This window comes from Homo sapiens, chromosome 6 (assembly GCF_000001405.40).
Source record: "Homo sapiens chromosome 6, GRCh38.p14 Primary Assembly".
Classification (NCBI taxonomy): Eukaryota; Metazoa; Chordata; class Mammalia; order Primates; family Hominidae; genus Homo; species Homo sapiens.
In genome coordinates, this window is record NC_000006.12 from 13,813,387 (window position 1) to 13,832,027 (window position 18,641).

The following is an 18,641-nucleotide window of genomic DNA, read 5'->3' on the forward strand; positions in this document are numbered from 1 at the left end:
AATATATAAAAATTATTTGTATATATAAATTATATATACATCAATTATGCATACGTATATCCACACACACATATTTACTGCGTCTGCTCTGCTAGAATTAAGCTCCAGAGGGAAGATTTTGTGGACTGATATATCTCACACATCTAGAAAAGCGCCAGGGACAGGGCAGACGCTAGGACTCCACGAATTAATGATTCCATCAGAATTTGAAATCAAACTGTAAAGCAATCCCTTCATTTCCCAGAGCTTTGCTGCTCAAACATACACACCCCTTCCCCTTGAACGCCCAACAGGCTGGGCGCTGCCAAACAGAACTCCTGGAAGGCGGCGCCCAAAAGCAGACCCTAGGAGTGGGCGGGCACCAACTCCCCGCCCCAGCACGCACCTCCCTCCAACTTTAGCGCCCGGGATTCCCAGGAATTCGTCTCTTCTGGGCTAAGCCCCGCCACCGCGGCCGAGCAGGGCGGGCCCGGACCTTCGACCCACGCTCCGGGCAGATGCCGGTGGCCTTGGAGGACCCGCCCTCCGGCCTGCCGGGCCTTTCCTCGGGGAGGCTGTAGCTGAGATCCCCGCCCCGCCGTCCAACCCCGCGAGACGAGCCCCCTCTCCTCTCCCGCCCGGGCCTCACCTCTCCTGCAGGAAACGAGTGCAGGCGCCGGGCCGTGGTACTGGGGAAGGGCGCCGGCGGCAGCGGCGACGCCCGGTGAGCACCTCCACGCGCTGCTGCGCCCGGCCGGGGGTGCGGCATACCCGAGGCGCGAGCGCTCCCAGTCCCCGAGCTGCCGGCGCGGGGCTGCGGCGGCCAAGCGCGGGGAGGGCACTAGCAGGAGGAGGAGCAGCGGTGAGGCACGTGACACGCCGCCGCGGGCCGCCGGGGCGCGAGGGCGCAGCGCCCCCAGACCGTCGGAGAGCGCAGAGAGGCAGCGGCGTGCTGAGGTTTCGCTGCCGCCCGGTCTTCCGCTGAGGCCCACGGGCAAGAAGAGAAGCCGCTGGCGGCCGGGCAGGCGCTGGGTCCTCTGGCCGCCGACCGAGCCGCAGTCCATCCCCGAGCAGTTCACTGGCCCGGGCGCGCGCTCATGCCTCTCGCTTTTGGCGCCGGCCACGCGCGGTCCAGGCCCAGAGTCCGACAGCGGGAGCGAGCGTGGGCCACAGCGCAGGACCGCCCTTTCCTGCCGGGCGCGCGGGCGGGGCTCGGGACGCGCGCCGGGGGTGGGGTGGGGCGGGGCGGCAGGAGCCCGCCGTGGCGCTCCGAGATGCGGGGACCGTGCGAGCCCCCACCCCATTCGCTAGGCGACGGCGGCGACCGGGAGGAGCCTGCGGGCACTCCGGAACTGGAAGGAGCTTGTTGCTGTCACGATTTGCATTTTCACTGCACTGCTGTCCTTAAAAAGGAATTACCCCGGTGCCCTTCAGAGTCCTGTGAAAAGTCTCAGACCGACAGGCTGCCCTAGATTTCACTGATTATCCTAAGTCCCCAAACATGTGGTTCTGGGGAGCATTTTAAGGAATTATTAGCAGGGCCCAGGGAAAGGCCCTCACATAATACATTCAAAACTAAATTTTCAGAGTTTTTGTTTCCAGATTAGAGCACCAAAAACATGGGAAGGTAGCAATCTGGGAACTTAAAACGTGGGGCATGAATGTTAAAATGAGACCTGTCGGGTATATTTGAAACTGGTAATGTTTAGTTTCGTGGACTTTTTGAAGGCCTGTTACACCATTCACAGATAACTGGTCCCTTATGTGAATTTGGAAGATGTTAGTTGAATAAATAAATGAAATGCATAAGGCACCAAGCTAGGAGATTTTATTAAAAATAAAAAACCGCAAAACAAATTGTTCTTATCCTCCAGAAGCTGTTTTCCTATACAGCCATATGTGTACACATACGTGATGGAAGAATGTGTTATGAGCCATGAGAGATGTACAAAGTGCTGGGAAGAGAGGAGCGTGCATATGGATGTGCAAGATAAGTGTCTATCAAAATTTGAAGAACTGAAAAACAGGATTCAAGTCATAGGTTGGTGCAAAAGTAGTTGCGGCTTTTGCCATTGCAAGTAATGGCAAAAACCGCAATTACTTTTGCACCAACCTAAGACACTTTTGTAAAAGGAGTATACATTTATAAAATTGGTAGAAAAAGCAGTTTAGCAATGAGTATCAACAAAAATTTGTAAACTTTTCTCAAGTCACCTAACTAAAAATGGGGATAATGGGAATAATCCAAAATATTAAATATCTACTAGGTTTGACTATACAAACTTGTCATTTTTATGGGTCAAAATGCTTAATATTGGTAATTTCACATATGCACAAAAGATAGTCATTGTATCATAATTTGTGATTGTGAAAAAATGGGAAAATAGTGCACAACATTAGAGGAACGATTAAACTGTGGCACAAACTTTAATGTTAGTCCTTTGTAATTTTTAAAAATTGAGGTATAATTTGCATACAGTAAATTCCACAGACTTAGGTGACATTTAGCAGTTGATAAATGTCATTTAGCAACTTGATGACATTTAGCAGTTGTATATACCACCCAGTCAAGATCTAGAACATTTTCATTGCTCCAGAAAGTTATTTTGTGCCAGTTTTCCAGACAATCCACCACCACCCCAAGGCAACTATTTTCTCTTTTTTTTTTTGAGACGGAGTCTTGCTCTGTCACCCAGGCTGGAGTGCAGTGGTGCAGTCTCAGCTCACTGTGTCCTCTGCCTCCCGGGTTCAAGCAATTCTCCTGCCTCAGCCTCCTGAGTAGCTGGGATTACAGGTGTCTGCCACCACGCCTGGCTAATTTTTGTATTTTTAGTAGAGACGGGGTTTCACCATATTGGCCAAGCTGGTCTCGAACTCCTCACCTTGTGATCTGCCCGCCTCGGCCTCCCAACGTGCTAGGATTACAGGCGTGAGCCACCGCGCCCGGCCAACTATTTTCAAATTTCAATGACCATAGATTAGTTTTGTCTTTTTTTGAACTTCATGTAAATGGAGACCTACAATATGCATTGCCTTGTGTCTTTCTTCTGCTTTGCGTCTGACTTCAATATCAATGAGATTCATCCATGCTGTTGTATCAGTAATTAGTTGCTTTTAATTGTTGAATAGTATTCCATTGTATGACCATACCACAAGCGGTCATCCATTCTATTAATGGCCATTTGCTTTGCTTATAGTTTTTGGCTATTATGCATAGGGCGTTATGAACATTCTTGTATAAGACCTTGTGTGGACATAATTTTTATCCCTGTTGGGGAAAGTATCTGGGTCAAATTGCTGAATCATATGGTAGCTTAACTTTAGACACTGCTGAATTGTTTTTCCAAAGCGACTGCACCCTTTCACACTCTTAGCAATAGATGAGCGTTTCGGTTGTTCCACATCCTTGCCAAATTTTGATATTTTCAGTCCTCATAAAATGGTACCTTATTGTGATTTTTAACATAACATTTCCCTGATGCCTAATGATGTTGACTAACTTTTCATGTATTACTATTACCAGCCATATTGAATACAATAACATATGTAAAGCACTTAGCACAGTGCCTGGCCTATGATAGGAGTATAATGAATGTCAGTTCTAACTACAGGTTGGATAGCATCCACTTTTCCTTGGATGTGACACCTGTTGTTTTATTTTCCAAAGCATTCCCTTTCTTTTGGTCTCAGCACCCTAGTTTTCCATGGGCAGTGGCTCTTCTCTGCTCTCAGTCCATGCGGTTTGGAGAGACTGATCGCTCTGCAGACCACAGGCATGGGCATGTCACCCAATCAGAGTTAATGAGCAGCCGGGCGCGGTGGCTCACGCCTGTAATCCCAGCACTTTGGGAGGCCAAGGAGGGCGGATCACTTGAGGTCGGGAGTTGGAGACCAGTCTAGAGAAACCCCGTCTCTACTAAAAATACAAAATTAGCTGGGTGTGGTGGCACATGCCTGTAATCCCCGCTACTTGGGAGGCTGAGACAGGAGGACTGCTTGAACCCAGGAGGTGGAGGTTGCGGTGAGCTGAGATTGCACCATTGCACTCCAGCCTGGGCAACAAGAGTGAAATTCCATCTAAAAAAAAAAAGCTTCAATTCTAGGATTCTTTTTTTGTTTGTTTATTTGAGATGGAGTCTCACTCTGTTGCCCAGGCTGGAGTGTGGTGGCTCAATCTTGGCTCATTGCAACCTCCACCTCCTGGGTTCAAGCGATTCTCCTGTCTCAGCCTCCCACGTAACTGGGATTACAAGCAAGCACCACCATGCCCAGCTAATTTTTGTATTTTTTAGTAGAGACGGGGTTTCACCATGTTGGCCAGGCTAGTCTCAAACTCCTGACCTCAAGTGACCTGCCTGCCTCAGCCTCCCAAATTGCTGGGATTACACGTGTGAGCCACCACGCCTGGCCCAATTCTAGGGTTCTTAATAGGAACTATTGGGAAGAGGTCGTCTTATTTTATTGTGATGTCTAGGTATAGGATGATTTGAACCATGAGCTCCTGGGGCTACCATGTGGCCTAAGACTAAAGCCCTTATGAAGAAAAGAAGACTGAGAAATGAAGAGACGGGTCCTTTTGAGCGTCTGATTCTAGCTTAGGCTGAAATTGGCATTTTATTTATGTAATCCAATAAGTTGCTTTTACTTAAACCAGCTGGGATAGGGCTTCTGATTCCTATCCCGGATACATTAGTGTACATTAGGATAATCTAGACATGTTAGACTTCTGTCTATGTATAGAGAGACTAGATACAGGAATCTAATGGCCAATGAAGAAGAAGAAGTATCAACTAATTAATGGATCAGGCAGGAGCCAGACAACCCCCATGTGAACCATGACAAAGTTGGACTTTATGACAAAGTTGGATTGGTGAATATACTTGGATCTGGGGCCAAAGTGGGGCCATCTTACTCTCTCTCTGTATCTAGACTTAGGGACCTCCCATGAGTAAAGCTGGATTCACAGAGCAGACTCTGACTTAGCCACCATCTGTGAGAAGTTTAGGTGGCCTTATATATTCTAGGTGTCATCAGGAGAAAAGAGATGGAAGATGGCCAGAGCTATCCCTGAAAGATCTACTGGGTCTGTTTTAGCAGGTAGTAACAGAAAGGTCAAGGGCTCATTGTCCCCGGTGCAAGCAGGTCAAAGAGAGAACAAAGGAGTTGGAACATTCCTGGATGTGACCTTTAGCATACTGATACTCTTACTAGTAAACACTGATGGGGGAATGTCAACTTCCACTAATCAAACTACTATTCTCCGTAATTGAAGAGTGTTAAAGGGTGAAGAAAGGATTCTCCTTCTGGGTAAAATGGAATAAGCACACTCCACCCTGTCTTTCCACCTGAATGCAGGCATAAAAGCTGGACAGAATGCATAGAGCCACTATTTGAGGACTCTGAAAAGTAAATAATAGCAGGCACATCAGTGAAGAAGACAAAAATCAAAGTACCACTGAACTGATGTTTAGTTTAGTATTTTTTCCAATGTATGAGCTCCCCTAGCTTGAACTGTCAACCCATAGTTCTATTACTAGCAAAAATATCCTTCAGTAATGAAGTGATGAAATAAAGACATCCTCAGATGAAGGAAAACTAAGAGGAGTTGTTTTTAGTAAGCTTGCACTAAAAGAATTGCTAAAGGAAATTCACCATATAGTAGGGAAATGATACCAAAAGGAAACTTGGAGCATTAGGAATAAAGGAAGAGCAACAGAAATGGCAAATACCAAGATAAGTATAATATTCTTCTCCTCTTTAGTTCTTTAAAATATGTTAAATGATAGAAAGCAAAAATTCAAACAATGGTGAAGTTTTTAATGTTTATAGATGTGGTATATAATAACTACAAAATAAAAGGGCAAGGATAAAGAGACCTATATGGTAGTGAAGTTTTCATATTGCACTTACAGTGGTAAAATACTGATTCTAAGTAGAGTTAGAAAAAGTTAAATATGTCTACTGTAATCCCTAGAGCAACCCATAAAGATACTGTACAAAGAGATATAGGTTGGGCACAGAGGCTCATGCCTGTAATCCCAATACTTTGGGAGGCTGAGGTGGGAGGATGGCTTGAGGTCAGGAATTCAAGACTAGCCTAGGAAACATAGTGAGACCCCACCTCTACAAAAAAAAAAAAAAAAAAAAAAAAAAGAAAGCCAGACATGGTGGTGAATGCTTATAGTCCTAGCTACTCAGGGGGCTGAGGTGGGAGAATCACTTGAGCCCAAGAGTTTGAGGCTGCAGTGAGCTATGATCAAGTCAAAACACATAATAGATAAAATGTAATATTAAAAAATGTTCAAGTAACCCAAAAGGAGATAGGAAAGGAGAAATAGAAGAACAAAAAACAGAGATAAAAACTAAAAGCAAACAATAAAATATTAGGCATCAATCTAAACATATCAATAATTACATTAAGTGTAAATGGTCTAAATCAGTGGTTGAGGAATGTTTTTAAAAAGCCATATAGTAAATATTCGGCTTTGTGAACCATAAGCAATCTCTTTTACATATTGTTCTGTTCAAAAACAGGTGGTGGGTTGGATTTGGCCCATGGGCCATAGTTGGCCAACCTTTGGTCTCAACATGCCAATTAAAACAGAGAGAATGTCAGAATGGATTAAAAAAAGAAGAAAGCACAGCCTAGTTATATACTGCCTACAAGACACTCACATCAGTTATAATAATATACGTAGGTCAAAAGTCAAGGATGAGGAAACGAGGATGCTCCTCAGGAGGTGAAAGTCTTGATAAAAGTTTTTTCTAATGTGTACTAAGATGGGAAATTGAGAGAAATAGAAGGGATTCTCCCTGATCCTTTCTCTTCCCTTGTATGAAAGTCAGACTCCTGATAACATCTGCATTTAAGAACATAGCCCTGAAACTGGAAGTAAAGAATGCCTCTGAGTTTTATCAGTAACCTTCACCAAACCTGAGCTCTTTATGCCACAATAAAGTCTATTAGGCACTCATTCTGAGCCTACTTACTCTTATTTTACACATAGTTAACTATGTTAGCCACTCCGCCAGTGTCATGAGATGAGAAAAAAGATAGAAGGGAGGAAAAATCAGAAACTAATGTGTAAAGTAGAGTAAGAAAGGCGTGTGACAATACAATTGCCACTGGACCATATAATGGTAACCAAGAGGACCTAAGGAAGGTCAAGATATAACTAACTTCTCCCGTTTAAGCATTTCATTTAGTACAAATCTTACTTAAAGGAGAACTTTCTTTTCAATCTGTGGGTTCCATTTTTCTTTTAGAGAATGTTTTCTTTATATATATATTTACATATAATATATAATATTATATTATATATATTTACATATAATATATATTATATTATATATATATTTACATATAATATATAATATTATTATATTACATATATATAAATATATTTTAATAGAGTTGGGGGTCTTTCTATGTTGCCCTGACTTGTCTTGAACTCCTGAGCTCAAGGAATGTACCCACTCTGGCCTCCCAAAGTGCTGGGATTACAGGTGTGAGCCACTGTGCCTGGCTTTGTTTTCACATATTTTTGATAATTTTTCTGTTGCTTCGTTGAATTTTTACTTCAAGCGACAATTACCTATATATTGGGTCACTTTTTAAAAATGATGTCTTTCATTTTCTTTAATCTAGAGCAATCTTTAAGTTGTTTTCTGGGAAGGGTGGGGAGGGAGGTTTTATGACAATGACATTTTTGAGAAGTCCAGACAAGTTGTCTTGTGAAGTGTCCCACAATTCGAATTTGTCCAATTATTTGCTTATGATTAGATTCAGATTACCCATTTTTTGCAAGAATAGCTAGTGTGTAGTGTTCAGTTCATCACATCGGGATGCATACTGTCTCAGGCTTTCCCATCATTCATTGCACTAAATTTGAGCACTTGGCTAAGGTAAGTGTTCAGCAGATTTCTCCATTGGACCTGGGTCACTTTTATTTTCCATATCTATTCATTTTTCTTAAACGACTTTTTGGGTTTTATTTCCTTATGCTCACTTTATTTGTCTCAAGACTTTCCTTCTTGGGAATAATTTAATTTTTTGCTATATCAATTTTGTTCCTTACTGATAAGCAGTGCTGCTCCTGATATTTGTAGGAATAAGAGCAAGAAAATAAATGCAGGGCCATCCTCCATATATCTAAATATTTAGAAGTTATAAACCAAACTAAGAAATTATTAAATTAAAAAATATGCTCTATCCTTCTTCTTTGACAAATATACTTTCATACTAACAAAATAGACAATATGTGTAAAAGCCATGGTTTTTACATGACTGAAATTTGACAAAATATTAAAGGTGATGCATGTAATTATAATTGGGCATATTTGAGTGTTCTGTTCATGGGCCAGCAATGGTTAGATGTGTACTAAAGTAAAAACTTTTATAGTTCATATGCTTTTTGTCTATTCATAACATTAATTTTTCTTTCATTTTAGCAAAATCACTCATTATGTTGGTATAATGAAGATTTTCATATAATTTGTTTTTTAAGAACTTTTTTACATTTTCTTTTTTTTTTTTTTTTTTTGAGACTGAGTTTCACTCTGTTACCCAGGCTGGAATGCAGTGGCACAATCTCGGCTCACTGCAAGCTCCACCTCCCGGGTTCAAGCCATTCTCCTGCCTCAGCCTCCCAAGTAGCAGGGACTATAGGCGCCCGCCACCACGCCCGGCTAATGTTTTGTATTTTTAGTAGAGATGGGGTTTCACTGTGTTGGCCAGGATGGTCTCGATCTCCTTACCTCGTAATCTGCCTGCATAGGCCTCCCAAAGTGCTGGGATTACAGGTGTGAGCCACTGCGTCCAGCCATTTTTCACATTTTCACGTAATCTTTAAAAAAATATATAGAAGAGGCTGGGCGCTGTGGCTCATGCCTCTAATCCCAGCACTTTGGGAGGCCAAGGCAGGAGGATCATGAGGTCAGGAGGTCAAGACCATCCTGGCCAACATGGTGAAACCCCATCTCTACTACAAATACAAAAAATTAGCTGGGTGTGGTGGCATGTGCCTGTAATCCCAGCTACTCAGGAGGCTGAGGTAGGAGAATCACTCAAACTAGAGGTTGCACTGAGCCGTGCGCCACTGCACTCTGAAGCCTGGCGACAGAGCGAGACACCGTCTCAAAAAAAAAAATTATATATATATATATGATTAAAAATTTAAAAAGAACAAAATTTGAATAATTTTCATCAAAAACAAAAAGGATGTAAAAATTTAAATTTTTAAATTGTTTTAATGATTTTTATATTTTTCTTCTAAAATTGAAATTTAAAAACTTTTTTTTTTTAAGAGACAGAGTCTTCCTCTGTCAACCAGGCTGGAATGCAGCGGCACAATCATAGCTTACTGCAGCCTTGAGCTCCTGGGTTCAAGCAATTCTCCCATGTCAGCCTCCCAAGTAGCTGGGACTATACAGGCACATACCACCATACCAGGCTAATTTTTTGAATTTTTTTGTAGAGAAGGGTCTCTTGATCTCTCAGCCTCAAACAATCCTCCCACCTAAGCCTCCCAAAGCACTGGGATGACAGGTGTGAGCCACTGCACCCTGCCTGAAATTTCTCTATCAAAAGACAAAACAGCCTGGGTGCAGTGGCTCATGCCTGTAATCCCAGCACTTTGGGAGGGTGAGGCAGGCAGATCACCTGATGGGTCAGGAGTTTGAGACCAGCCTGCCCAAGATGGTGAAACCCTGTCTCCACTAAAAGTACAAAAATTAGCCAGATATGGTGGTGGGCTCCTGTAATCCCAGCTACTTGGGAGGCAGAGGCAGGAGAATGGCTTGAACCCGGGAGGTGGAGGTTGCAGTGAGCTGAGATTGTGCCACTGCACTCCAGCCTGGGCAACAGAGTCACTCTGTCGCAAATAAAAATAAAAATAAAAATAAATAATAATTACATTGAACAAAAATCAAAATTACATAAAGTTGATATTTTATTTAGTATTTTAAAAGTTTAATACAGTAATAGTAAAAGATTTTTACATTGTAAAACTATTTGTAGTGTTAATGTTCAAAGTCCACATAGTTACCAATGTAAATAATTGGAACTACACTTCACATAAGTTATTTCTTGTCTGTATGTACATACACCTTTAAGAATAATATGTAATATGAGTTGTTTAATGTTGCAAAATGCTCCTCAGATGCCATGTGTAACAGTTGTGAATATGCTTTAATATTTTAGTACCTTCAAAACCAATGAATTAGATACAAAAAGACATGAGAGAATGAATGCTTGGCCTTCTGGGAAATAATACTTTCTTCAGTAAGAATCTATGGGATTCATGCTGAGACTATGTATCTGACAAGCAAGTGAATTGGTCTATTATCCTTCTTAAATTCTTCAGCTCAAATCTTTCTCATTCTCCTGAGCAGTGTCCATCTCTGATACTGGCAAAGGCGCAAAAACCTTCATGGCGTTTGGCATTCTTCGGTACATCAGAAGAAACCTTTCCTTGGGGCCTGAGGGTGTGGATTATGAGAGTAGGTTTAGGGTTGTGGGTTTTGCTGTGCCAGCACAGAACATCAGAGATGTCCACGTGTTCTTTAATGAATTTATCTTCCTGGTCTTTGTGATATCTTCGGTCCTCTAAAGAGCAGGGCCCAGAGCCTGGGTCTCTTTTATCTGTGAGTAATGTCATATATAAGAAGCAGAATCTATGAGTTATGATGAGTATTCTTTTAGTCTTTAATCTGTTTACTTAGAATTGTAAGTTTCTCTTTTCCTGTTGTTGTTTTGTATTTCATCTTGTCTTTAAGTTCTTATTTATAGAATTCATATTTTTTTAGTTGCTTTATAGAGAAGCCGTTATAGAGAATTTCCTTCTCTCCTTTGAGTTATATTTTCTTCAACACTGGGTTCCATATCTTTTTTTTCTTAGTCTGGTTGTTTCTTTGTCCTCCTTTTAAAAAAGTAATAGATTTTCATAATGCAGACAGTATTTGTTTTCATCTTCTTAATGTTTAATGTAGGGGAGTTTATCCAGACTTTCAATTTACTTGGGTGTAATTTCTCCTCAAATCCTTTCTCATTTTTGTGCAAGACCCATTTGTTTTGCCTTCTGGACTGTGGCTGGAGGGCATAGTTCTAGTGCTCTGTCAGCTTTTCTGTATCTATGCATTGGTGGGGAAAAGGTAGCTGTAATTTCCAGTATCCTTTCTTTTTTTTTTTTTTTTTTTGAGATGGAGTCTTGCCCTGTTGCCCAGGCTAGAATGCAATGGCGCAATCTCGGCTCACTGCAACTTCCGCCTCCTGGGTTCAAGCGATTCTCCTGCATCAGCCTCCCAAGTAGCTGGGATTACAGGGGTGCACCACCACGCATGGCTAATTTTTCATATCTTTAGTAGAGACGGGGTTTCACCATGTTGGCCAGGCTGGTCTCAAACTCCTGACCTTGTGATCTGCCTGCGTTGGCCTCCCAAAGTGCTGGGATTACAGGCGTGAGCCACTGCACCCGGCCTCCAGTATCCTTTCTTAGAGAAACTGGTCTCTAATATCTTTTTGAGGTTTTAATAAGTATCTTGTGTCAGACTTTCCTTTTCTATGATGGGTTGGATGTGAAGGGGGAGGATATGGAGGGGTAATTATATTCCTATTGGAAGCACCGATTTCCCTAAAGTGTGTATTTCTATTTCAGAGATTCAAAGCTGGCTGCTTAATCTCCCATCTCTTCTGTCTTCATCCTACCAACAGGTCAAAAATGACATTTTGAAGATTAGTCTTGCATCAATAACCAGGATGTTTTGAAATGGAAGAAATTGGACACAGGGAGACCAAAGAAGCTACTGTTACGGTAATGCACGTGAGAAATGAATTAGGTGAAAACATTGTATACGAAGAGAAAAAGATGAGCTCTCATAATTTGGAGAAGAAAAAACCCCATAAACTTACAGTGACAGAAGAGACATCCATAACAAAGGATTGGGAATAGATAACATTTATTTAACCCTAGGGACTGAAGGATTCATAATGCTATCTGCGGCATGCTGAAAACTGTATTGATTCTTCTGAATGTGCAGAGAAAGATGACCTCAGTTTGGGCATCACATAACTTTTTTAAAAGTGAAAAAGGAAGCAAATAATACTGTATATTTCATACACTATATCTTAATTTGAGATATATATGTATGTATATTTAAATTTAGAACCATATATTAAAATTTTTGCAGTGGTTATTTCTGAAAGGTGGTTTATGGATGGATTAAATTTCTTTCTTTGTACTTTTCTGTATTTTTCAAATTTTCTACAAACGACCATAGTAGAAAATAATAGAGAAGCTGCAAAAAAGGGAGAAAATTTTTATAATAGAGAAAAAGTTGCAAAAAAGGGGAGACACCCAAGTTTATAGTACTATATTTTAGGCAAATTGCCATGAAAAATTGTTAAACTTAAAAAAAAAACTTAAAGAGGTAAGGTTTGGTGTTATTGAGCACTTCAAATGTGGCTAGCTCAAACTGAGATAGCTGTAAGTATAAATTACCAAATGGATTTCAAAGTCTTAGTGCAAAAAGAGAATATGAAATATCTCATGTATTTTTAAACATTGGTTACATGATAAAAAAAATTTTGTTAGATTAAATAAACTATATTATTTTCTTAGTCCATTTTGTGCTGCTATAACAGAATGTCTGACACTGGTTAGTTTACAATTCTGGAGGCTGGAGTCCAAGGTCAAGGGGTGGCATCTGGTGATGGCCTTCTTGCTTCATCATCCCATGGCAGAAGGCAGGAGAGCAAGAGAATGTGTAGGAGAGAAATAGAGGGCCAAACTCATTTTTCTAACAAGCCCTCTCTTGAGATAACTAACTTACTCCCTCAATAACAACATTAATCCACTCACAAGGGCAGAGCCTTCATGACCTAATCGGCACTTATTAGGCTGTACCACCAACATTGCTGCATTGGGGATAAAGTTTCTGATACATAAACTTTGGGGAACATATTCAAATCATAGGAATTGTTAAAAGTAATTTTATGTATTTCTTTTTACTTTTTAAAATGTACCTACCAGAAAGTTTACAATTAAACATATGGCTGATGTTTGTGGCTATATATGTATTGGACAGTGCTGGTCTAGAATATCATCCAATTTTTAATAAACCCCTGAAACCCAAGTGACTTTAAGTGCTTTACCTTTCCCCTAACATCCTCTTCAGTATTATCCAATAAAAAGGCTTTATCCTCCATCCTAAGTGATCTCGTTCCTCTTCCTCTACCTCCAAAGGTTCTAGTGACTCGATGTATTTGGGGAAAATACAGAATCTATCTACAACACAGGTGGGTTTGCAGCTGGAACCTGTCATCTCATCCCCGTGTAGATTTTTGAAAGTACTGCCACTGATTATTATTATTGTTTTTTTTGAGACAGAGTCTTGCTCTGTCACCTAGGCTGAGTGCCATGGTGCGATCTCGGCTCACTGCAACCTCTGCCTCCTGGGTGGAAGTGACTCTCTGCCTCAGCCTCCTGAGTAGCTGGGATTACAGGCATGCACCACCATGCCCGGTTAATTTTTGTATTTTTTAGTAGAAACAGGGTTTCACCATGTTGGCCAAGCTGGTCTCGAACTCCTGACCTCAAGTGATGCACCCGCGTCAGCCTCCCAAAGTGCTGGGATTATAGGTGTGAGCCACCACACCTGGCCTACTTCCACGTTTTACTCCTTCTGCAAAACAATGCTAATGCAAGGCTACTTCAATTAACAGATGTTTCTGAAGTTTCAGGGAATAATTATAGCATATGCAGAAAACTGCTTCAGATTGTGTATTACTCCTCGCTCTTCTTGTACCTTTTCCTGCCATTCCCCACTAGAGGGGATTTCTCACTGCTTCAAGAGGAAGTGCCCTTCCTCCCCTCCCTTCTTTCTTCCAGAGTCCACTTCCCTTCTCAGAGCACCAGCTGACAACTCCAGAATTTCTTGAGACCTTATTGTGTGGAGCATTTTGGCCAAATATTTTTCACATAGCCTCTGCCTAGGCTACCTTGCACTTCAAAGCCAAATAGGCCCTTTTTGGTGCTTTCCAAAAGGCTACCCTGCTCAAATTCCCATGAGCTCTTTACAATAACACCATTTTATTTGGTTACACTAGTTTTGTTCATACACAGGTGGTGTAAGTATCATTATGAGCCAAGCTCTGTTGTATTGACAGTTCTCAGGTAACAGAAAGGCTGCAGGCATGGAATGCTGTCTGTCCTCCAAAAATTAAGATCAAATGGCTAGTGTTATTTGCAGATCAATACAGTGCTTATGAGTATGACACTCTCTGACACTTACTGGGTGACCTTAGGTGAGTTTCCTTGTCTCTCTCATTGAATTATCCAATGCTTAAGAAGAACTCTGTCATAATAATAATAATAATACCATCTATCTCTTAGGTGAGAATTAAAATGAGATCATGGCCAGGCGTGGTGGCTCACGCCTGTAATACCAGCTCTTTGAGAGGCCAAGGCAGGCAGATTACGAGGTCAGGAGAGCAAGACCATCCTGACTAACACAGTGAAACCTTGTTTCTACTAAAAATACAAAAAATTAGCCAGGTGTGGTGGCAGGCACCTGTAGTCCCAGCTACTTGGGAGGCTGAGGCAGGAGAATGGCATGAACCCGGGAGGCGGAGCTTGCTGTGAGCTGAGATTGTGCCACTGCACTCCAGCCTGGGTGAGAGAGTGAGACTCCGTCTCAAAAAATAATAATAATAATAATAAAATAAAATGAGATCATGAATCATCAACATTTATTACTGTGCTTGATCTGCAGTATGAGCTCAATAAATAGTACCTATGTTGGTTATTAATATTGCACATAACTCCAAGGAGTCCTAGGTAATAAGAAATTTATACCTCCATAGGGTATCATAGCTCTTAGAAATGCTTTTGGTTGCAAATAACAGAAAACTTGAACTTTGGTAGCTCAAACAATTAGAGATTTATTTAATTTTACAGAACATCATTGGAAGTTGGCAATTCAGGGCTGATTCAGTGCTCAGCAATGTCATGAAAGACCGTGACTTCTTCTGTCTTTCTGCTCTATCCTGCTCAGTGAGTGGTTTTCATTTCTAGGCCTGTTGGATTCATAGTCACAAGATGGCTGCTGCACCACAAGGCCCCACAACCACATTCCAGGCTGGAAGAAAAGAGAAAGGTGAAGTAGCCGAATCCTCACACTAAGGCTTTGCCGTTTATTTCAGGAAGGGATGGCCTTCCCAGGGCCTTTTGCTCACATCTCATTGGTTGGAACTGTGTCATTAACCAGCCTCAGGTGTAAGAAAGGCTGGAAAGTCACGTTTGGCCTCTCTGCTTCAACAGAAAAGGAAAACAAAGCAAAAGTAGGGAAATGGGTATTGATCAAACCTGTAACATCAGTTAGAAGGAGGCAGTATAATTTGGCATGCCGAGAGGGCCAGCTTCTAAGCAAGTAGCATCATTTCCCCTACTGGGGGAACTCGCCCCCAACATTTCAATGTAGGTTCTTTCTATTTTCCGTAAGTGTCGGCCAGCTGAGAAATAAAGAGAGACAATACAAAGAGAGGAATTTTACAGCTGGGCCGCCAGGGGTGACATCACATATCGGTAGGACCGTGATGCCCGCCTGAGTCTCAGACCAGCAAGGTTTTATTAAGGGTTTCAAAAGGGGAGGGAGTGTAAGAACAGGGAGTAGGTACAAAGATCACATGCTTCAAAGGACAAAAAGCAGAACCACTGATAAGGGTCTAACAAAGATCACATGCTTCTGAGGGAACAGGACAAAGGGCAAAAGCAGAACCACTGATAAGGGTCCAACAAAGATCACAAGGCAAAGGGCAAAGCAGAACCACCGATAAGGGTCTATGTTCAGTGGTGCACATATTGTCTTGAAAAACATCTTAAACAACAGAAAACAGGGTTCAAGAGCAGAGAACCGGTCTGACCACAAATTTACCAGAGCGGAGTTTTCCCAACCCTAGTAAGCCTGAGGGTTCTGCAGGAGACCAGGGCTTATCTCAGTCCTTATCTCAACTGCCCAAGACAGACATTCCCAGAGTGGCCATTTATAGACCTCCTCCCAGGAACGCATTCCTTTCCCAGGGTATTAATATTAATATTCCTTGCTAGGAAAAGAATTTATCAATATCTCTTCTACTTGCATGTCCGTTTATAGGCTCTCTGCAAGAAGGAAAATATGGCTCTTTTTGCCTGACCCTGCAGGCAGTCAGAGTTTACGGTTGTCTTCACTTGTTCCATAAAAATCGCTGCTATTCTGTTCTTTTTCAAGGTGCACTGATTTCATATTGTTCAAACACGCATGTTTTACAATCAATTTGTACAGTTAACACAATTATCACAGTGGTCCTGAGGTGATGTACATCCTCAGCTTACTAAGATAACAAGATTAAGAGATTAAAGTAAAGACAGGCATAAGAAATTATAAAAGTATTATTTGGGAACTGATAAATGTCCATATTAAGATGAAATCTTCACAATTTACGTTCCTCTGCTGCGGCTTCAGCTGGTCCCTCCATTTGGGGTCCCTGACTTCCTGCAACTTTCCCCACCCTAGGAACGTAAGGACTAGAGCTGCAACATATGGGAACATACGTAAGTGTTCTGCTTCCAGCCAGGCTCTTGAGAGGGGAAAAGGCTCTCTGCCCCTTTTTGCTTTTCACTATCACTTATCAAGGGACTGTTATGTAACTAGGACTGAACAGCTGAATAACATTGATGCAGTCATTGACTTCAAAGGTGGAGGAACATATGCTTGTCAAACTGTATATTACATCCATAGAGATACGCATGTGATGCTGTGGGAAAATACAGAAGAGGGGGCCTCTGGCTCAGACTGGGAAATCAGGGAAGGCTGCCCAAAGGAGGTGACACTGGAGCTATGTTTGGAAAGATGGCAAAGATCTGGGACGGTAAACAAGGGGGTGGAAAAATATTACAAGTAGAGGTAACATGTGCAAAGACCCGGAAGTAAGGAGACCATGCAGGTGATTCAAAGAATTCTGAAAAGTTTATTAGGACTGGAGCTTAGGGTTTATGTTGGGGTCTAATGAGAAAGAGGACTAGAAAAATAGGCTGAAGCAGGCTTGAGGTTGCCTTGTTTGCCAAACCAACAAATGTATATGGCACCAAATGTATATGGCAGGACTTCAAGTCAGGGAACAATGTGATTAAACTCACATTTAAAATTACTTTAGTGGGCAATGTAAAAGCTAGACCAGAGGAAGGGAAGATGAGATCAGAGGCAGAGTGATTAGAAGGTAACTGGGAGAACTGGGGAGGAAGGCTGAGCATCTGAACCATCGTGGTGTTGGAGGCTGTCGCATCTAGAGGAGATTTGGGAGATGCTGAAGAGGTCAAATCAATGGGACTTGATAAGTGATTGGATATACATGTTCACGAGAATTCAGGAATGACACCATGTTTCTGGCTCAGGCAACTGGGTTGATGTGCTGCCTCGTGATATCAAAGGGATTACTGAAGAAGAACAAAGTAATTTTTGAGGAAGTATTGACTTTGGGCAAGTTGAGTTTGAAGTGCTTGTAGAATGTGTAAATGAGTATGTCTGGTAGGCAGCTTGGAGATACAAGTCAGGAGAGTGGTCTGGCAGGAGATACGGATTTACCATCTGCAAATAGATGATGGTTGAAGTCTCTGAAATGAGTATGCACACCACACCCCACCCCCAGGGGAATTGTTTCAGAGTCATCACAACCTCAAAGCCTCCCTTCCCCTCACCTCCCCTCCCCTCCCCTCCCCGCCCCTTCCCTTCCCTTCCTCTCCTTTCCTTTCCTTTCTTTTTTTTTCTTCTCTTTTCTTTGAGACGGAGTCTTTCTCTTTTCCCCAGGCTGGAGTGCAGTTGTGTGATCTCAGCTCACTGCAACCTCCGCCACCTGGGTTCAAGCAATTCTCTGCCTCAGCCTCCCAAGTAGCTGGGACACAGGCACCCACCACAACGCCCGGCTAATTTTTGTATTTTTTGTAGAGACGGGTTTTTGCTATGTTGGCCAGGTTGGTCTCAAACTCCTGACTTCAAGTGATCCACCCCCATCGGCCACCCAAAGTGCTGGGATTACAGGCATGAGCCATGGCATCTGGCCAAAGCCACCTTTTTGAGGCATCACTTATCAAGAAATATTTAAGGAAATGAATGTGTTAATTATGTCTTAATAAAACAACCATAAAGTTAATCTATATGAATGGTACCAATCAAATTAGAAGAAAATTTACATTTTAAATAAGAGTAATTAAGAACTCAAAGTCACTCGGTGTGGTAGGCAGCCTCCAGGGTGGTTCTCAGTATTATTCTGCTTCTTGATATTCATGTCCCGTGCATGCTTCTCCATCTTCTAGGGACTGCCTGTGTGACTAATAGCATATGGCAGAAGTGAGAGTACATCACTTGGGTCATTTACTCTGTGGGAAGAGAGCTGCCACGGCACGAGCAGCCCCTTGGAGAGGCCTACACAGTGAGGAACTGAGGCTTCCTCCTGACAGCCCTGTGAGTGCGCCATTTTGAAGGTAGAGCATCCGGCCCAGGCAGGCCTTGAGCTGACTGCAGCCCCTGCCAAAATCTGAACTGCAGCTTGGCCAGACATCCTGGCCAGAACCACCCAGTTAAAATGCCCCTGATAAGACTCAAACACTATGTCGGATAATAATGTTTACTGC

At 42.2% G+C, this 18,641-nt stretch overlaps 1 protein-coding gene and 1 long non-coding RNA gene across 6 annotated transcripts in view, besides 3 other annotated features; one reads left to right on the plus strand and one right to left on the minus strand.

The window, feature by feature from the left end:
- The window catches only part of MCUR1 (mitochondrial calcium uniporter regulator 1), a 28,001-nt gene extending 26,830 nt beyond the window's left edge, over nucleotides 1-1,171 (minus strand). For 3 of the 4 annotated variants that reach the window (XR_007059329.1, NM_001031713.4, XM_011514802.2), the window contains exon 1: nucleotides 629-1,171. Coding sequence is in view for 3 of the 4 variants with exons in the window: in NM_001031713.4 (NP_001026883.1) it covers nucleotides 629-1,043 (415 nt within the window). In the remaining variant the exon portion in view is untranslated. Of the gene's footprint in view, nucleotides 1-385 lie in introns of all 4 variants that reach the window. The other variant, XM_047419249.1, reaches the window with a different exon arrangement.
- Nucleotides 359-1,028: a silencer, noted in NCBI's record as "silent region_16939". NCBI's record gives its function as "represses an Ori minimal core promoter by ATAC-STARR-seq in GM12878 lymphoblastoid cells {active_cell/tissue: GM12878}" and the evidence as "EXISTENCE:reporter gene assay evidence [ECO:0000049][PMID:35858748]".
- On the plus strand, nucleotides 424-13,182 carry LOC107986571 (uncharacterized). Of its 2 annotated transcripts, none has more exons than XR_001743986.3 (2): nucleotides 424-703; nucleotides 11,690-13,182. It is a non-coding gene; the product is annotated as an uncharacterized LOC107986571 (long non-coding RNA). The 2 variants fall into 2 exon arrangements; XR_007059463.1 differs by lacking the exon at nucleotides 11,690-13,182 and adding an exon at nucleotides 1,854-2,410 and having other exon boundaries at nucleotides 614-703.
- Nucleotides 1,109-1,378: a silencer, noted in NCBI's record as "silent region_16940". NCBI's record gives its function as "represses an Ori minimal core promoter by ATAC-STARR-seq in GM12878 lymphoblastoid cells {active_cell/tissue: GM12878}" and the evidence as "EXISTENCE:reporter gene assay evidence [ECO:0000049][PMID:35858748]".
- Nucleotides 1,539-1,638: an enhancer, noted in NCBI's record as "active region_24040". NCBI's record gives its function as "activates an Ori minimal core promoter by ATAC-STARR-seq in GM12878 lymphoblastoid cells {active_cell/tissue: GM12878}" and the evidence as "EXISTENCE:reporter gene assay evidence [ECO:0000049][PMID:35858748]".
- Nucleotides 13,183-18,641: the final 5,459 nt, after the last annotated feature.